The sequence below is a fragment of the Homo sapiens genome, chromosome 2, assembly GCF_000001405.40.
Source record: "Homo sapiens chromosome 2, GRCh38.p14 Primary Assembly".
Lineage (NCBI taxonomy): Eukaryota > Metazoa > Chordata > Mammalia > Primates > Hominidae > Homo > Homo sapiens.
Genome location: NC_000002.12, coordinates 161,291,652 through 161,312,273, shown reverse-complemented (window position 1 = coordinate 161,312,273; position 20,622 = coordinate 161,291,652). Strand labels below are relative to the sequence as shown.

At 38.5% G+C, this 20,622-nt stretch overlaps 1 protein-coding gene across 1 annotated transcript in view, besides 1 other annotated feature; it reads right to left on the bottom strand.

The window, feature by feature from the left end:
- The window catches only part of PSMD14 (proteasome 26S subunit, non-ATPase 14), a 103,293-nt gene extending 99,444 nt beyond the window's left edge, over nt 1–3,849 (bottom strand). The window contains exon 1 of the mRNA NM_005805.6: nt 3,670–3,849. The gene's annotated coding sequence lies outside the window, so the exon portion shown is untranslated. The remainder of the gene's footprint in view (nt 1–3,669) is intronic.
- Nucleotides 3,522–3,981: an enhancer, noted in NCBI's record as "active region_16712". NCBI's record gives its function as "activates an Ori minimal core promoter by ATAC-STARR-seq in GM12878 lymphoblastoid cells {active_cell/tissue: GM12878}" and the evidence as "EXISTENCE:reporter gene assay evidence [ECO:0000049][PMID:35858748]".

The window sequence follows — 20,622 nt, the reverse complement described above, 5'->3', positions numbered from 1 at the left end:
TACTCAGGAGGCTGAGGCAGGAGAATCACTTGAACCCAGAAGGTGGAAGTTACAGTGAGCCGAGATCGCGCCACCGCACTCCAGCCTGGGTGACAGAACGATACTCCATCTCAAAAAAAAAAAAAAAATTACTTTTCAGACTGATGCTCAATCCTTTTCAAGCTACTCCGTATTTGTTATCTTACTGTATTTCTAATTCCTCTGTTTTCTTATTTGTGCAAAGTAGTTAAAACTTCATATTCTCACTTTCTTAAGGACTTTTTTCCAGTGGAAGATCGTGAGTGAGTCAACATTAAATTTAATTATATAAATAGGATTTTGAAAGCAAGATTTCCGCAACTTAGAAGAGTGAGAATGGTGGCTGGGCACGGTGGCTCACACCTGTAATCCCAGCTCTTTGGGAGGCCGAGGCGGTTGGATCACCTGAGGTCAGGAGTTTGAGACCAGCCTGGCCAACATGGCGAAACCTGGTCTCTACTAAAAATATAAAAACTAGCCGGGCGTGATGGCAGGCACCTGTAATCCCAGCTAGGCAGGCTGAGGCAGCCTGGGAGGTGGAGGCTGCAGTGAGCCAAGATCACGCCACTGCACTCCAGCCTGGGCAACAGAGCAAGGTTTCATCTCAAAAAAAAAAAAAAAAAAAAAAAAGGAAGAGTGAGAACAGACTCATCATAATAATCTATTATGGAGTCTCCTAATTTCAGCATCCATCTGTATCTGTGGGGAATTGGTTCCAGGATACCAAAATCATGGATACACAAGTCTCTCATATAAAATGGCATAGTACCCTATTTGCATATAACCTATGCACATCCTCCTATATACTTTAAAATCATTTTTAGATTACTCATAATAACTAATACAATTAAATACAATACAAATAGTTATACTATATTGCTTAGGGAATAATGAAAAAAAATGTCTATACATGTTCAATATAGATGCAATTTTTTTTTTCCTTTTTTGAGACAGAGTCTCGCTCTGTTGCCCAGGCTGGAGTGTAGTGTCGCAATCTCAGCTCACTGAAACCTCTGCCTCCAAGGTTCAAACGATTCTCCTTCCTCAGCCTGTCCAGTAGCTGGGATTACAGGCACACGCCCCCATGCCCGGCTAATTTTTGTATTTTTGTATTTTTAGTAGAGAAGGGGTTTCGCCATGTTGGCCAGACTGGAACTCCTGACCTCAGGTGATCCTGAGCCTCAGCCTCCCAAAGTGCTGGGATTACAGGCGTGAGCCACCACGCCTGGCCTAGATGCAACTTTTTTCCAAATATTTTCAATTTGTAGTTGGTTGAATCTACAGATGCGGAACCCAAAGATATGGAGGGCTGACTCAAGAAATTTAGTGGCATGCACTGAGAGAATTTATAATCTATCGGGGCAGGTGGGTAGAAGCAGCTTGACACAAACCCATAAAAAATATGTAAAGGGAAAGGACAGCAGTGTAGAGTGAAAAAGGCTCTTGAACCAGTTGACCTCAATTTGAATCCGGCGTCACCACCTACTCACTATATGACACTAATTTTTACCCTCTTCTAGACTCTAGACCTCATTTATAAAGTGGGGATAACATCTACTTTGCAAGTCTGTTGTAAAAATACGTCCAAAGCAATTTATAGTGCCTGGAACATCCAAGGTACTCAATAAATGTTGTCGTTGCTATTCTTGTTATAATTGTTATTATTATCATTTTAGAACTAGAAGAGATTATTTAATCAAGTTCTCCCATTTCACAAATAAGGTCACCAAAGTATCACACACAAAGCAGAATACGAAATGTCAAAATGACTGCAACAAACAGGGAATATGACAAGTTCCTGAGCAAGAAATCACATGGATATTCAGGCAAGGCTTTCACAGGTGGACACTGAATTATTAAATGAACGTTACTACAAAATTGAAAATTAAAAAAGCACAGTTGCTTCTTGTTACTGAAATAAGAGGACTAGATTAATCTCTTCCACTTCTAAGATAATAACAATAACAACAGCAATAATATTTATTGACTTTCATACATATGGTTCACAAACTATATATTAACAAGCACATGGTTTACATGGCCAGTATGAAAATAAGATGAACCCATGTCAAACAGATTAAAATTCAGCTTTTTCTCTTTTTTTTGAGACAAAGTCTCACTCTGTTGCCCAAGCTGGAGTGCAGTTGCGCGATCTTGGCTCACTGCAACCTCCACCTCCCAGGTTCCACCTCCAGCCTCCTGAGGTAGCTGGGAATACAGGCACGTGCCACCATGCCCGGCTGATTTTTTTATACTTTTAGTAGAGACGGGTTTTCACTATGTTAGCCAGGCTAGTCTTGGCCAGGCTGGATCATCTCATGATCTGCCCACCTCAGCCTCCCAAAGTGCTGGGATTACAGGTGTGAGCCACCGCACCCGGCCTAAATTAAAATGGCAATGTATTATTTACCAAGCACTTTAGGCTGAAAAAAAAACAAAAAACCAAAAACTCCCAAAGTCAACAGGTGAAGCATCAATAAAAGATCATCACTTGAAAACTTTCTTCCCTTGGCAAGATTTAGGGACAAATTCAAGACAACATTTAGCCTTTTTCACTAAATAGCACTTCACTAAACACACCTTAACTGTAGTTAATTCAGAACCACTATATATCTTAACCTCTAAACTTCAAATGAGTCAGCTGGTAGGTAGCCTTACGTGACAGGAAGGCCACCATTATATTAATCATCTCCACTAAAACTGTGTTCATGTTTTTGTTATTTCTACAGTATCAGTGCATGTCTTGCTGCTTTTCTCAAACACATTAAGTCAGAAGCACTAAAAAAACACTTGTGACCAGTGGAACAAAATCACTTTCACACTATAACTCTATTTTATGCTCATTTTTAAACCCTTTCCCCTGCCTTTCCATAATATTTTATCAACTTATATTACCATTTATTTTCTCGAGAATTTTTCCTTCAGTCACTAGGTTTATAGACTCAAAAGTTTACATTCTTTTTCTTTTGACAGACACAGAGCTACATCCCCAGGAAAATTAAGTTGCAAGATGTAACATACGGTAGCAGATTTCTACTTTACTTAAAACGAGAAATGTAATCAATTTACCAACAATTACTCAATTAGTATGATATTGAAAGTAAGTTAACAGCCATAGTAGCACACTTTGTTTTTAAGATATTCAAGGTCCAAAAGCAGTGTATCTGCAGGACTTTTGTTTACTTTTTGGAGGGAGCTGAAAACCTAACACTAACAGAAAAAGGGTTAAGGCTTACAGGAAGGACAAGAGATAAAACAAACGTATTCAATGGGAAAGTTAATTCTACTCTCTCTCCCTTGTTTTCCCGGTCTGCTTTGAAAAACTTCAAAGCAGACCGGTTAACAACTATGGATAGAGCACAGACAAACAGGCCATAAACAAGGATTCTCTCTATATAGATGGAAGAGGTTCCCATGATGTGAATTCGGCCAAACAGAAAAGAATGGAGAAAGGAGGCGACATCCAGACCTGACCCTGCCAGAGAGCCCTGAGAGCAGGCGAAGAGAATGAAGGAGGCCGGGCTCCTCCCTCGCGGCCCAGGCCTCCTGTGGCAACTCAGCTGGGCAACGTGACTCAGGAAAGCACGGGGCTGGCGGCGGCCTAGCACGGCTGCCTCCCCAGACCTCCCAGGCCTGCCTTCTGGGTCTTACCTGAAGACGGGCGGGAGCCGGATGCCGCGATATGGACCCTTGTCTTGCCTCTGTGGTGACGCGAAGACAGAGGCAACAGCAGCAGCGGCGCACACCCGACGCGGCTCTGTCTGCAAACCGGCGATGAATCAGCCCGATTCCATTCAAAAGAGTTGCCCGGGCCTCCGCCGCGAAGCACTTCCGGGTTCACTAGTTTGCTTCGGCTTCCGTTCCCCGACGGCCAATTGGAGACGACGGAGAGTCAAGCGGATGTCCAGGAGGAGCTCTTGGGACAGACGGCGCGGGCGGCCCGGCGTCTCCTGTCTCTGGCAGGACTGTGAGGCGGCACTTAGCGCCCTGGTCGCTCGCGCCCCGCCGACGCCTCCTTTTTCTCTCCCTACCTCTGCGCTCTGCGGCCGCCGCTGAGATCTGGGACGGCGGCACATCCAGCCCGGGAGACGACTGGCTAGGAAATAGAACTGTTAGTATTTTGAAGCCCAGATCCCCTTTCGTTTTGGTGTTCACTACTATTATTGCCCTCCTCAAAAACTAAAAGGTTCATTTGAGCTAGATTTAACTTGGTTATCTGAGAAGAAAATTTTTTTAAAAGAGGGGGGATGGTGTGATTAGAGGGGACCGGTAAGACGCCCTTTTCTGTAAGTCCGCTTTATCCACCTCTTGTCATTATTGCTTTGCAAGGATTGGATTTCAGGGAAAACTAAGGTTTCCCAAATGTTCAAACCACCTATTTTAAGCCGAGTTTAGTTTACAGGGTTTAAAGAGTCATTTATTCACATTTCTCCATGTAATTATCGGCAATCACATTTTACTCATGATCTACTTTGTGCTAGGCTTTCAAAAAGCAAAGTTGCAGAAGATATACTTGACAAGTTGATATTACACTCTAGGTCTAGGTACAGTCTCTGTTTAAGGCAGCTTGTTTGCCACGTTCCTGTCACTTTCTCAAATATGTTCCAAATAACAAGCATCTTTAAAGCATTCCTAAATCGAGAATGGTGATGAATCTACTGGACAGAGGGTGAGGAAAGATTACAGCGCCTGGATCCAAACTGTGATTTGAGTAGCACAATTGCTTTAAGATATTAATACCTTTAAAAACACAAAGATTATTTTACTCATAGGTAATATTTGGATCCACATCTTTATGCTTCCCCCCCAAACCTATGCCTCTCTATTCATTTTTTATGGGAGGAGGGGGTGAGTAGCCCCGTCCTCCAAATAATTTTCCTAATCAGAAACTTAAGAGTATGAACACTTGCCTCTTTTTCATCTCTCCCCACTGTAGAAACCATGAAATGTGTAATCTCCATAACAGCTTTTCCAATCCACCACTTCCCCTTCTAAATACTCCCCACTTTGGCCTTAACTCAGACCTTCCTCACTTCTTTTTTATTTTATTTTATTTTATATGTATTTATTTATTAATGCATTTTTGAGTTAGGGTCTTGCTTTGTCACGCAGGCTGGAGTGCAGTGGCGCCATCTGGGCTCACTGCAACATCCCGTCCCCGGGCTCAGGCAACCCTCCCACTTCAGCCTCCTAGGTAGCTAGGGCTACAGGCGCTTGCCACCATGCCCAGTTAATTTTTATTTATGTTTTTATTTATTTTATTTTTTTAGTAGAGACAGGATTTCACCATGTTCCCCAGGCTACTTTTTTAGAATGCTCTTTGATCTTTCCGCCTTCGGTCTGATTCCTTTTAATCCATTCTCCACCTCACTGGTAAAAATTTTTGTGCTATATGTAGTCATGCTCCTTCTTTATTTAAAATTCCACTAGTGGCTCCCCATAACATTCATTATAAAGGTCAAAAAAAAAAAAAACCCTTAAACTTTGTTTGGAGCACCTTTTGCTCCAGCCATACTAAAGTATTTAGCTGGGGAATAAGATGTCCATAGGGCTTTGAAAAACGCTAACATATTCCTGAGACTGTAGAAGGTGCTTAGGGTGTGCATATGTCTAGGGTTATGTGAACACTCAAGATAGGCCTGAGAAGGCCCTGAGCTCTAACCTCTGGGTGACCTTGAGGCACTACAGAAGCAAGAAGTGAAGGCTAAGGCAGAATTATTTGGTTGGTTGGTGCAAAAAATTGCGGTTTTGTCATTTCAACGAAATTACTTTGGTACCAACCTAATGTAAAGTGCTTGGCTGATTGTTGAAGGCTTGTCCCAACGTAAGTACTAAACCCCTCAGGAAAGACTGGGAGATTTTTTGGTTGAAGGTGTTTAAGAAAACCTGTCTCTCTAATCATTAGTTGACCACTAAGCTAACTGAGCAGAAACCTGAGTGGTCACACACAATAAACAATGCAGACTTTAAAGAATTCATTCATAAGCTAGGTGCGGTGGCACACGTGTAGTCCCAGCTACTCGGTAAACTAAGGCCAGAGGATCCCTTGAGTCACCAACTCAGACCCTATCTCTAAAAAAAAAAAAAAAGAATGAGTTCAGAAAAGTCACTAAATCAACAACTGCTACAACAAACAGAAATAACAGTGAAGCTTGGGGAGCGGGTAGAATCTGATTTCCAGTGTTGCACATTATATTATTTAAAATGTTCAGTTTTCAAAATAGTTAAGATACATGCAAAGAAACAAGAATGTATGGCTCATACACAGGATAAAAATTAATCAATAGAAACTCACCCGAGGAAGCCTACATGCTGGACTTACTAGATAAAAAGGCTTTAAATCAGATATTTTCAATATGTTACAAAGCTAAAGGAAACCATGTCTAAAGAACTAGAGGAAAGTATGAGATGTTTCATCAAATAGATGATAAAGACAAATCATTTTTTAAAACCCAAATAATTCTGGAGTTAAAAAGTATAATATGCCATGACGGAGACAAATTTTAAATTTTTAAAAAAAAATAAAATAACAAAAAGGTATAATAAAGTGAAAAGTTTACTAGAGGGGCTCAACCCCAGATTTGAGCAGGGAGAAAAAAAAAATCAGCAAACTTCAATATAGGTCAGTTGAGATGATCTAGTCTGGGCAACAGATTGAAAAGAGAAAGAAGAAACATCAACAGGCCTCAAAGTCCTGTGGGACACAATCAAGCACACCAACGTGCGCGTAATGGGAGTTTCAGAAGGAGAGGAGAAAAAGAAAAGGGCAGGCATAATACTTGAATAAAAGAATGGCCAAAAACTTCCTAAATTTAATGAGAAATATTTATCGACACATCCAAGAAGCTTAACAAATGCCAAGTGACATAAACAAATCCACACCTCAACACATTGTAATTAACCGATTAAAAGTCAAGGGCAAAGAGAGACTCTTGAAAGTGGCCACTTTCAAGAAGAAAAGCCACAAAGAGAGAAGCCACTCATCACATAATCCTCCATAAGATTTACAGTTGATGCCATGAAAGCCAAAAGGCAGGGGATGACATACTCAACATGCTGAAAGAAAAAGATCATCAAGTAAGAATTTTACCTCCAGCAAAACTATCCTTCAAAAATGAAGGCGGTATTAATACTTTCCCAAAATGTATGTATATACAAAGATAGAATTTGTCACTAGGACATTTTCCTTGCAAGAAATACTAAAGGGAGTCCTTCAGAATTAAATTGACACTAGACAGTAATTCAAATCCACATGAAGGAATAAAGAACACTTGTAAAACTAACTACATAAGTAAATATAAAAGTATAATTTTTTATTTGTGACTCATTTTTCTATTTTATTTAAAAGACAATTGCGTGAAGCAATAATTATAAGTCTGTATGGGCTTATTGTAAGATATTAATATGACAGTAACAGAAGGGAGAGGAAGGAGGGAAAGAATAATGGAGGAACGAAGCCATATAGTAGCAAGTCTTTGTGTACTATTGAAATAAAGTTGTTATTAATCCAAACTAGATTGTTATAACTTGTTAATTATAATCCCCAGAGCAACTGCTAAGAAAATACTTTTAAAATATATGAATAAAGGACAAGGAAATTAAAATGGCATACTTGAAAATATATATTTAACACAACAAAAGGCAGCAGGAATTAAGAAATAGAGGAATAAAAAAGACACAGGACATAAAGAAAACATCGCAAAATGACAAATGTAAATTCTACCTTGTCGATGTCAACAATCCAAAGGATTTTCCTTAAAAAGGAAAGAGGCTGGGCGCAGTGGCTCACACCTGTAATCACAGCACTTTGAGAGGCCAAGGCTGGAAGATTGCTTGAGTACAGGAGTTTGAGACGAGCCTGGGCAACATTCTAAAACCCCATCTCCACTAAAAAATACAAAAAATTAGCCAGGTGTGGTGGCACATGCCTGTAGTCCCAACTGCTTAGGCAGCTGAGGTAGGAGGATCGCTTGAGTCCAGGAAATCAAGTCCGAAGTGAGCCCCGATCATGCCACTACACTCCAGCCTTGGTGACACAGTGAGACCCTGTCACAAAAAAAAAAAAAAAAGAGAGACTTTATTCCAGTGAATAGTTTGTAGTCTTTTGTACCAAACAAAGGTGTTATTCAAGAAAACAAAAAGGATTGTCTTCTTTAGAGAAAGTTCGCACCCAGGTTCCCCCTCTGCTTTGCTATGCAAATGAGGAATAAAAGCTTGTTTAGTTTTGATTGGTTGATGCAGGTCACAGTGTATCAGTTAGGTCCAGGTGGTGAAAAGAGACTTTCTAGCAGTTGTTGATTGAGGCAGTGTAAACAGGAACAGACAGCCATGAATGACCCAAAGTCTCATAAGCTTGTTGGTTCTCTTCAGAATACAGAGTACATGTGTGACCTCCAGTCAGCAAATGGCTGCTTGGCTCCATTTTGAATTTAGGACCAGTTAGCCACTCAGGATCCATCTTGAAAGATTAGCTCTTTCAGGATTCACATCAGTCAGTATATTAAATATAAATGGAATAAAAACTCCAATTAAAAGGTAGAGATTGACAGAATACACTTAAAAAAAAATATCTAGCTATATCTATCCACAGAGTTACACTTTAGATTCAGTGACACAGGTTGAAAGTAAAAGGATGAAAAAAAGTACGATCTAAATAGTCACTAAAATAGCACAACCACTTTAGAAATTGTCCTGATATTTAAAAAATAAAAATGCAATTATCATTTGACCTAGCAGTCCCACTTTATATTTACCAAAAATAAATACAAACATGTGCCCACACCAAGACTCTTGACCGCAACAGTTCATAGCAACTTTACTAATAAAAGCCCTAAACTGGACACAATCTAAATGTTTGCCAGCTGGTGAATAAATAACGTCTGGTATGTCTTTACAATGCAATATTAACAATAAAAAGGAAACTACTAATATATGCAAGAACAAGGATGAATTTCAAAAACATCACGCTGCGGAAAAGTAAGATGTGAAAGTGCATACTGTACAATACCCCTTAAAAGGACTGTAAACAAATCAAGTCAAATAGGCAGTGACAGAAAGCAAATCAGTTGTTGTCTTTGTGGTTCATAGTAGAGTTAGGTGGGAGGATTAACTGCACAGGGGCATGAGGGAACTTTTTGGTTTGTTAAAAATGTTCTATATTTTTATCGTGGTGATAGTTTGTCAAAACTCACCAAATTGTACACTAAAAATGGGTGCATTTATGGTTGATTATTTATGCCTCCATAAAGTTGATTTAAAAGAAAAAACCTCAAAGTTGTTATTTTCCCCCATTCTTTTAGCCATACCAAAGTATTTGCTATTAAATCATGCTGTCATATGCCTTAGAATCTTCAGACCTACTGTTTCTCCACTCTGAATGTCTTTTCTCCCATCTGCTATCACCACACTCTTTCCCACATTTTGCTGGAGGGTGTTGATCAGTCAATACCCTCTCATATAATCCTGCCCTATAGCCCTACTCTGTAATCCTTGATTTACTTGTCTGCCTTACCATCTAAACTTTAAAATTCTTAACAGCGGGGAGCATGGCCTGGTCATAGTAGATATTTACAATTAATGTTGGATATTGAAGGTACTTGTCCAGATACTTTGCTTGCTAAGAATACTTTAAAAGATCAGGAACATTTTAAATCCAGATATAACTCCTCTTGAAATAATCAATTCCTTAAAAACAAAAAAACAAGCAAATTTATGCAATTCATATAGCTACATAACTGATACGAATATTACATGCCAATGCTTTTTTTTTTCTTGAGACAGTCTCACACCGTCACCCAGGCTAGGGTGCAGTAGCACGATCTTGACTCACTGCAACCTCTGTCTCCCCAGTTCAAGCGATTCTCGTGCCTCAGCCTACCACGTAGCAGAAATTAGAGGTGTGCACCACCATGCCAGCTAATTTTTTTATATTTCTAGTAGAGACAGGGTTTTGCCATGTTGCCCAGGCTGGTTTCGAACTCTGGGCTCAAGTGACCCTCCCACTTCAGCCTCCCAAAGTGCTGGGATTACAGGTGTGAGCCACAGCTCCCAGCCCACATGCTAATGCTTAAAGCAATTATTGTTTGGGTTAGACCCAAGATAGCTTTGGAAACCACCTCAGTGCACAGAATTGTGAAATATTTAATTTTCTAAAATATTTAGTTTTCTAAAATCATAAAATGACAAGAGTTCACATTATTAAATATGTAATGTACGTTGTGTTGTGTCAAAGAGAAGCCTTCCTGCTCATTTGGTATCCACTGAATCTGGCAAGTTTATTAAATGAAGGACTGACTAGTGGCGTTACTACATACATGTTACAAACCTTAAAATCCATCAACCTTACTGTAAATATTTCTTCCTATTTATAAAGAGCTCTAAGGACAGCTCCTTTCATATACAAAGTATGACTAAATGTCTAGTAAGAAATTGTAAGAGTAAATTTTCAGATTACCCAGATTTACAATTATGAATATCAAAAAGGGCTGTTGCCATTTGAATTTTTAAGAAATGTTTAAGAAACTGAATGTTTAAGAAATGCATTGTTTTCTGTTCAAAAATTAAAATCAGCTTTGTCATATTTAATTATGTTTTTTGAGTTACATAGTTTTTGAGTATTATAAATAAATATAGATCCAGCAAAAGAAAAAGAAAAAATAGGAAAATATTTACATATTAAAGTACAGTGAATTAAGTTAATGTATAAGGCCAATAGAATAATTGTTACTTCTGCCAGATGGTATTTTACATTTTGATAAAGAGATATATTCTTAATCATATATGTCAAGGAAAAGCAACCATATGTTGTTAAACACTTCCAATTTGTCATTTAATTTAAAAGGCACTACTGATATTGCCATAAAATTTTTTTTTTTTTTTTGGTGATGTAATCTGTCCCTGGTGTCAATAAAATGTAATCTCTTCAAGTAGTTTCCTTAGTTTTCTTCAACTGTTTGATCCAATAATTCAATGAAGAATTGCCTTAGCATCTACAAGGAAAGAACACCATATAGTGGGTAAATCAGAATCCAGAGTATATATTCAAGTTACTACTGGGCAAGAAGCATAACCTCTGTTTTCAAGAAGGCTCTAGAATTTAATTTACTATATTCTAGTAAAGTGAATAAAATATATAGAGTAAATCAAATGATCACAAATTGGTTTGCCTTAAAGTTCAGAAACCAGTATATTCTTTATTTGTTGTGTTTTTGAGACAGAATCTCACTCTGTTGCCCAGGCTAGAGTGCAGTGGCACCATCTTGGCTCACTGCAACCTCTGCCTCCTGGGTTCAAGTGATTCTTGTGCCTCAGCCTCCCAAGTAGCTGGGATTACTGGCGCACACCACCACACCTGGCTAAGTATTGTATTTTTAGTAAAGATGGGGTTTCACCATATTGGCCAGGCTGGTCTTGAGCTCCTGACCTCAAGTGATCCACTCGCCTCAGCCGCCCAAAAGGCTAGGATTGCAGGCATGAGCTACCGCACCTGGCCCAGTATATTATTAAGAAAAAAAAAAAAGAGGGTGACTATATTACAAAACAATTTTCCTCTTTACAAAAAGATGTTGAATGAAAAAAACATTAAGGAAGACACAGAAAATAGCATTCAATCTACAATAGAAAAAGGAAACTGGTATCAGATTATTATTAAAACAAAGATTTTATGTGCCTTTATTTCCTCTACTCTACTTTTTTGAGAAGAATATCTCAGCCCCTCTTCCTCTGTCACTCTTCACCCATTTCTCTTCTCACGCTACAGGGCTCCATGGATTATTTCTTTCAGGCTTAAAGTCTGAATTACCATCTACGTGCTGAAGACTTGCAGATTTCTATTGTCTGTGCATCTCTCTTCTCCAGACTTTTCATTGTTACATGGCTGTCACTATTTATCTATTCTCCAGTTGATGGACATTTGGGTTGTTTCCAATTTTTTGCTATTATGAACAATGCTGCTATGAATATTCTGTGTGTCCCCTGGTGTGTCAGATCAAGAGATTCTCAAGAATATATACCTAGAAGTAAAATGGCTAGATTCTAAGACAGACATGTCAATTTTACTAGATAGTACCAAATTGTATTCCAATGTGATGTTCAAAATATCTGATTACTTTGTGCCATCACTAACAGTGTTGTTAGACTTGTTTATTTTTGATAATCTAATGAAAATAGAGTGATATATTGTTTTAATTTGCATATTTCTAATTACTAATAAGATTGAATGTGTTTCATATTTGTTGGCCATTTATATTTTTTCTTTTCTGATATGCCAATTCATGACTTGGGCACATTTTTTCCTCTAGAGTTAGCTATCCTTTTTTGCATGCTTTCAAACTCTTCATTCACGCTTAGTAAAATGAAACTCAATGAGGATATGTTACATGGGAAAGGTAATGTAGTTAGTAGCAGAACTCAAAATTCATAGTAACCAGTATGTGGGATTTGGGGGAGGGAAGCAATTTATATGCAACTAATATCATTTCCTTGTGTGTTACATATTTTTTTCTAAAGTGAACACAAGTGAAATATTAAGTTTCAGTGACACTTAAGATTGTGTTGCCAGGCATGGTGGCTCACGCCTGTAATCAGCAAAGGAGACCAAGGCAGGCAGATCGCTTGAGCCCAGGAGTTCTAGGCTAGCCCAGGCAACATGATGAAACCCTCTCTCTACAAAAACAAAAAATAAGAAAAAGAAACCCAAAAATTAGCCGGGTGTGGGGCACATGCCTGTAGTCCCAGCTACTTGGGGGGCTGAGGCAGGAGGATCATCTGAGCCCAGGGAGTTTGAAGCTGTAGTGAGCCATCATTGTGTCACTGTACTCCAGCCTGAGTGACAAAGTAAGACCTTGTCTCAAAAAAAAAAGAAAGATTGTGTTTGACACTTAAGATTGCATATGATCACCTCCTTTCTGAGCCAGACAGACATGGGCTTTGCAGGCCAATGAGATTGGAATGCTATTCCAGGGATGCTACACTCAGAGTGAGTCTTGAGAAGTCACAGGTCTGTTCATTATATTGGCAAATAACTAAGGAAATTTTCCAAACAAACTTTCCACCAATCCTGGAAACTCATATTTGGGGGATGGAGTGTGGAACTGTGTAGTGTAATAAAGATGCCCATATGAGTCTGATCTGTCCATTATTTTGGATGTATCTACTCATTGTCTAAAGTGATTGAGACACAAAACCAAAATAAAGTGAATTTCTTATTGTCTGTCATGAGTACCACAGGCGGTACATAAGATAATTTCAGATGATTCATGAACATTTTCTGTATTAATGGGAATATACTTATTTTGATGTATAATAGAAAAATACAAAAAGAACATATCAGACCTGTGATATGATTTCTTTTTTTTTCTTTTTAAAATTTTTGAAAGAGGGTTTCACTCTGTCGTCCAGGCTGGAGTGCAGTGGGTGATCACGACTCGCTGCAGCCTTGATCTCCCAGGCTGAAGTGGTCCTCCCACTTCAGCATCCCAAATTGCTGAGACTACAGGCACGAGCCACCACACTGGCTTCTTTTAGAATTTTATATCTAACTTTTATCACCACACTTTATCACAAAGAAAAAGCCACAATAATAATTATTTTAATAATAGAACACATGAATAAAGATGAAAATAATTTGGGGTTTTTAACCTAGAAAATAAGACTAAGGGATGAATTCAAATGAATGCTAAATTATTTCAAGAAAAATACTGAATGTCCTCTATTCCATAGAAGACACAGAATGATAATTATGAAGAGCTTTATTAATTATAAATAAAGAAGGCTTTATCAACTATAAGGATAAAATATAGTATTTCAGGGCTGGGCACAGTGGCACATGCTTCTAATCCCAGCACTTTGAGAGACCCAGGTGGGCCAATCGCTTGAGCTCAGGAGTTGAGACCAGCCTGGGCAACATGGTGAAACCCTGTCTCTACACAAAAATGCAGTAATTAGCCAGGCATGGTGGTGCATGCCTGTAGTCCCAGCTACTTGGGAGGCTGAAGTGGGAGGATCGCTTGAGCCTGGAAGATTGAGGCTTCAGTGAGCCATGATTATGCCATTGCACTCCAGCCTGAGTGACAGAGTGAGACCTGTCACCAAAAAAAAAAAAAAAAAAAAAAAGTGTTTTCGTTCTTAAGAGCTTTGAAAAAAGATGAATGAGGAGGTAACCAATTTTTTAATAATAATGTCCTATCTTCCATTTATTACTCAAGAAGTTGTATAGATGAAAGAAGCTAAAGTACCTCCCCTAAAATTATTAGGATGCAGGGCAGCCAAAGAAAGTAGAAGAGGGGAGAGACCTTACAGCCCAGTATCTCAGGACTATGACTTTTCTTTTTTTTTAAATTTTGAGATGGTGGACTCGTTATATTACCCTTCTGGCCTTAAACTCTTGGTCTCAAGTGACCCTCCTGCCTCAGCCTCCCAAGTAGCTGGGATTACAGAAGCGCACCACCATGAGACCTTTTTTAAAAATATATATATATTTTTTTAAATTTTACTTTCAGTTCTGGGATATATGTGCTGAACATGCAGGTTTGTTACATAGTTATACATCATCACTGGTCATTAGAGAAATGCAAATCAAAACCACAATGAGATACCATCTCATGCCAGTTAGAATGGCAATCATTAAAAAGTCAGGAAACAACAGGTTCTGGAGAAGATGTGGAGAAATAGGAACAGTTTTACACTGTTGGTGGGAGTGTAAATTAGTTCAATCATTGTGGAAGACAGTGTGGCGATTCCTCATGGATCTAGAACCAGAAATACCATTTGACCCAGCAATCCCATTACTGGGTATATACCCAAAGGATTATAAATCATTCTACTATAAAGACACATGCACATGTATGTTTATTGCAGCACTAGTCACAATAGCAAAGACTTGGAACCAATCCAAATGCCCATCAATGATAAGACTGGATAAAGAAAATGTGGCACATATACATCGTGGAGACCTTTTTTTGAACTAACATCAGTGATCACTTGGATACACTGTTTATGTGCCTTATTGCTTAAGACAACTACATCAAATCACTACTGAATGACTTAACAAACTGGTTTTTATTCCAGGATTCAGATAAGTATGGTATTGTCATTTGGTTTTGCTTCAACATGCTCAATTACTGTTTGCATAAAATTTTGCACTCATTAAGAATTGGAGTAAAAAATATTTTTCTTAATTCCATGAAATCCTCAAACTGGGGCCAATTTGAGTGTTGAAGATGGAAGGAGGGTGAGATTGAAAAACTACCTATTGGGTATTATGCTGATAATCTGGGTGACAAAATTATCAGTACACCAAATTCTCTCAACACCCAATTTACCCATGTAACAAATCTGCACATGTACACCTTGAACCTAAAATAAAAGTTAGAAAAAAAAATAATTTACAAAACTAAAAATAAATACTTTAAAGCCAAAAAACAAAAAATAAATAAATAAAATCCTCAAACTGGATTTTTACTCTTAAAAATACTTTAAGTGAGGCCGGGCGCAGTGGCTCACGCCTGTAATCCCAGCACTTTGGGAGGGCCGAGGGGGGTGGATCATTTGAGATCAGGAGTTTGAGACCAGCCTGGCCAACATGGTGAAGCCTCATCTTTACTAAAAAAAAAAAATACAAAAATTAGCTGAGCCTGGTGGTACATGCCTGTAATCCCAGCTACTCGGTAGGCTGAGGCAGGAGAATTCCTCGAACCCAGGAGGCAGAGGTTGCAGTGAACCAAGATCGCACCACTGTACTCCAGCCTGGGTGACAGAGCGAGACTCCATCTCAAAAAAAAAAAAAAAACAAAGTGTATTTTTTTTTGAGATGGAGTTTCACTCTTGTTGCCCAAGCTGGAGTACAGTGGCGCGATCTCGGCTCACTGCAACCTCTGCCTCCCGGGTTCAAGCAATTCTCCTGCCTCAGCCTCCTGTGTAGCTGGGATTACAGGTGCGTGCCACCATGCCCGGCTAATTTTTTCTATTTTTAGTAGAAACAGCGTTTCACCATGTTACCCAGGCTGGCCTCGAACTCCTGACCTCAGGTGATCCACCCACCTCAGACTCCCAAAGTGCTGGGATTACAGGTGTGAGCCACCACACCTGGTTTAAGTATACTTTTAAGCACATTTTAAGAGCAAAATATTTGTGACTTATTGGTTAGGACTTACATAAAGTTTCTAAACTTTTTATAAAATAAACTTGATCCACTTACAAACATGAAGATTAAACAGAAATTTGTTAGGTGTCAGAGAATATTGCTCTAGTTAAACTTCAAAAGCTTCTTAGCCCCTAATGAGGTAGTTTCAACAAGATCATCTTTGTTGGATGATACTGAGTCTATAAAGAGTCATATTTTTAGAGTATGACTATTTTTATAATGAACTTATTTAATTTGTAGACTAGTTCACTATAAACCTTTTCTAATCTTTGTATTAGTTTTCTGAGCATTTTGTGATTTCTTTATGTAATTATTGTGAATTTAATAAATTAAGCAATAATCTTAATGCTTTAAGATGCTATTGTAGAACAGTCATTTCCTAACAATTGAGTGAAAATGAACCTATTCATAGAGACAATTTGGTATTTATTCACAAAATGACAATAATTTTTTACAGATAAATGGTAGCTTTTAAAATCTCAGCTGTTGAATCAAAAGGAGTGAAAGTGGTAATTCTGAGACTACAAAAAACTTGATTAATAAGTAAAGGGAAGATTTTTTTTTAATGAGAGATAACTTTTTATTTTGTGCTTCAAAACATAATTGGGCTGGGTGTGGTGGCTCACACCTGTAATTCCAGCACTTTGGGAGGCCAAGGTGGGTGAATCACTTGAGATCAGGAGTTCAAGACCAGCCTGGCCAACATGGTGAAACCCCATTTCTACTAAAAATACAAAAATTAGCCAGTCATGGTGGCACATGCCTGTAATCCCAGCTACTCTGGAGGCTGAGGCAGGAGAATAGCTTGAAACCGGGAGAAAGAGGTTGCAGTAAGCCGAGATGGCACCACTGCACCACTGGACTCCAGCCTAGGTGATAGAGTGAGAGTCCATCTCAAAAACAAAACAAAACAAAACAAAACACAAAAAACAAAAAAACATAATTGGGCCATGAATGCTTAACAAGAGCAATTGAGCTATTAGTTGTTCCGACTGAAAAACATTTAAATATAATAATACAACATCAAATCTTATATATACATTTATATATTTTTTCATAAAGCAACTTTAATGAGACTAGAATGCAAAAAGGCTTGCTTGAGTTATAATACTAACCATGGTATCTATGCTATGGAATTGCTTCAAAGGTGACACTTTATAATAAAATGCTTTGGAAATTTGGATGACATCAATGCATTATGCCAGATTTCACTAGTAGGTAAAATGTTTCTAATGAATTTTGAAATGCTTGGAGGAATTTAAAAATAACTCTAAAAAATCATGTATATTATATATACATTTTTAAATCTATTCAGTTTTTTTCTAACCTGCATGCATATGGACTCTGTAGTGCTGTAATAAGTAATTAAATAATAATGGGACACATGAGAAAGATTTAAAACCAATCAAAACTACCAAGAACTATACAAACTAAAAACCCCAGCAGGGTGCAGTGGTTCACACCTGTAATCCCAGCACTTTGGGAGGCCAAGGTGGGTGAATCATGAGGTGAAGAGATGGAGACCATCCTGGCCAACATGGTGAAACCCCGTCTCTACTAAAAATACAAAAATTAGTCCGGCATGGTGGTGCGTGCCTGTAATCCCAGCTACTCGGGAGGCTGAGGCAGGAGAATCACTTGAATCCAAGAGGCAGAGGTTGCAGTGAGCCGAGATCACGCCACTGCACTCCAGCCTGCAGACAGAGTGAGACTCCGTCTCAAAACAAAACAAAACAAAAACCCAATATGCTGTTAATTTGGTTAGTGTAAAAAAGGATTTATTTCAATGGCTAGTCCAATGTTTCATTTAATCTTCCCAAAAGGGTAGTAAAAAGAAAAAAAAAAGCAGCACAAAAAGTCTGGAAACCTTATGCTGCTACCTTTGTGACTTTAAGTCATTTACTACTTTGGTCCTCAGTGTACAGAGAGAACGCTGTTTAACTTCTTATTCTTATTCTCACTCTTATTCTAGCAATGGAACATTTTGTCAAATGGAATCTTACATAGGGCACCAATATATAAAACAGATAAATGCAGAGCTGCTCTGCTAAGGTGGTGGGTGGGAAAACCTGGAGCCCTCTCCAGATTTGTTTGTGCTATTTTTTGCTGTATAAAAGTTTCAAAAAACATTTAATGGCTTTGCTTTTGCTTCTGGGTTGTGTATATTCAGAAAAACATTTTATAGTGTAAAACTTTTAAAACATCTCTTCCTTCTTCAAAGACTTTCATATTTAAATCCTTCAGCGATCTAGAATTTATTTTAGTATAAGGGCTCCAACTTCACATTTTTCGAGGTTTCTACCTAGCTGTTCCTCCATTTATTAAGCAATTTGTCTTTATCCTGTTGATTTGCAATGTCACCTTTCTCATGTAATAAATTGTCCATATCAGCCGGCCGTGGTGGCTCACACCTGTAATCCCAGCACTTTGGGAGGCCAAGTCAGGCTGATCGTGAGGTCAGGCATTTGAGACCAGCCCGGCCAATATGGTGAAACCCTGTCTCTACTAAAAATACAAAAATTAGCTGGGCATGGTGGTGCGCACCTGTAATCCCACCTACTCGGGAGGCTGAGGCAGAAGAATCGCTTGAACCTGGGAGGCAGAGGTTGGAATGAACCTAGATTGCACCACTGCACTCCAGCCTGGGTGGCAGAGTGAGACTCCGTCTCAGAAAAAAATAAAAAATTAAAAAAAAAATTGTCCATATTATGGAATCTGTTTCTAGTTTCTGGTACTTAAGTTTTAGGAATGCATTACCTCTCCCCATTCTGCTCTCTCCCCATTCTGCCATTCACCAATGACCAAGAAGTACAAACATCTTGTAGTCCTGTTTTTTTTTTTTTTAATGTGAAGACTTTCCGTTATGTACACAAATGGTTAGCTTTTTGTTTAACTTTGCATGTCACATTTACCATTCTTTATTGCCAACTGTGTAAAAAAATTGTCATCTATTACATTTGCAATCACATAAGACATACAGTGGTCCCCCCACCTTATCCAAGGGGGATATGTTCCAGTGGATATCTGAAACCTCAGATAATACCAAGCCATATATATATATATTTGTGCATCTATGATGCACAAATTTCATTCTTCTTCTTCACAATATCACAGATAGAAGATACATTCTTATTGTAGATCTCAGCAACCTCAGCATATGATTTTCTTTCTTTCCTTGTTAAGTTGAGAACTTTCATCTTTTCACTTAAAAGGAGCACTTGATGGCTTCTGCTTGGCATAGCCAAATTGCCAGCATCACTACTCTTGCATCTTGGGGCCATTATTAAATAAAATAAAAGTTATTTGAACATAAGCACTGTGATACCACAACAGTCCATCTATAGCCAGTATGGCTGCTGAGTGACTAATGAACAGGTGATGAACAGCTTACAGCATGGTGACGCTGGACACGGGTGATTCCTGTCTGGGTAAGACTGAGTGGGACAGTGTGAGATTTCATCACACCACTCAGAATGGTACACGATTTCCAACTTAAGAATTATTTCTGAAAATTTTCACTTAATATTTTCAGACCATGGTTAGTCACAAAATTGCCAATAAGTGAGGACTACTATGTATAAATTATTACCAGGGTACTAAGAGCTTGAATTCTGGAGCCAGAATGGGGACAGTTATAATAGTAGGGTTGTTGTGAGGATTAAATGACTTAATATTTGTAAGATACTTAATAAGCATTATGTCATTATTGTTGCATATAATCTATAGATCAGTTTATGTAGTTTGTAAGTGATACATTTTATCTTTTTAAAGTTGCTACCCTTAAATATTTTATTTTATTTTATGCTTTTTTTATTATACTTTAAGTTCTAGATACATGTGCACAACGTGCAGGTTTCTTACATATGTATACATGTGCCATGTTGGTGTGCCTTACCCTTTAACTCATCATTTACATTAGGTATATCTCCTGATGCTATCCCTCCCCCCTCCCTCACCCCACAACAGGCCCCTGTGTCCAAGTGTTCTCATTGTTCAGTTCCCACCTATGAGTGAGAAAATGCTGTGTTTGGTTTTCTGTCCTTGCAAAAGTTTGCTCAGAATGATGGCTTCCACCTTCATCCATGTCCCTACAAAGAACATGAACTCATCCTTTTTTATGGCTGCATAGTATTCCATGGTGTATATGTGCCACATTTTCTTAATCCAGTCTATCATTGATGGACATTTGGGTTAGTTCCAAGTCTTTGCTATTGTGAATAGTGCTGCAATAAACATACGTGTGCATGTGTCTTTATAGCAGCATGATTTCTAATCCTTTGGGTATATACCCAGTAATGGGATGGCTGGGTCAAATGGTATTTCTAGTTCTAGATGCTTAAGGAATTGCGACACTGTCTTCCACAATGGTTGAACTAGTTTACAGTCCCACCAACAGTGTAAAAGTGTTCCTGTTTCTCCACATCCTCTTCAGCACCTGTTGTTTCCTGACTTTTTAATGATCG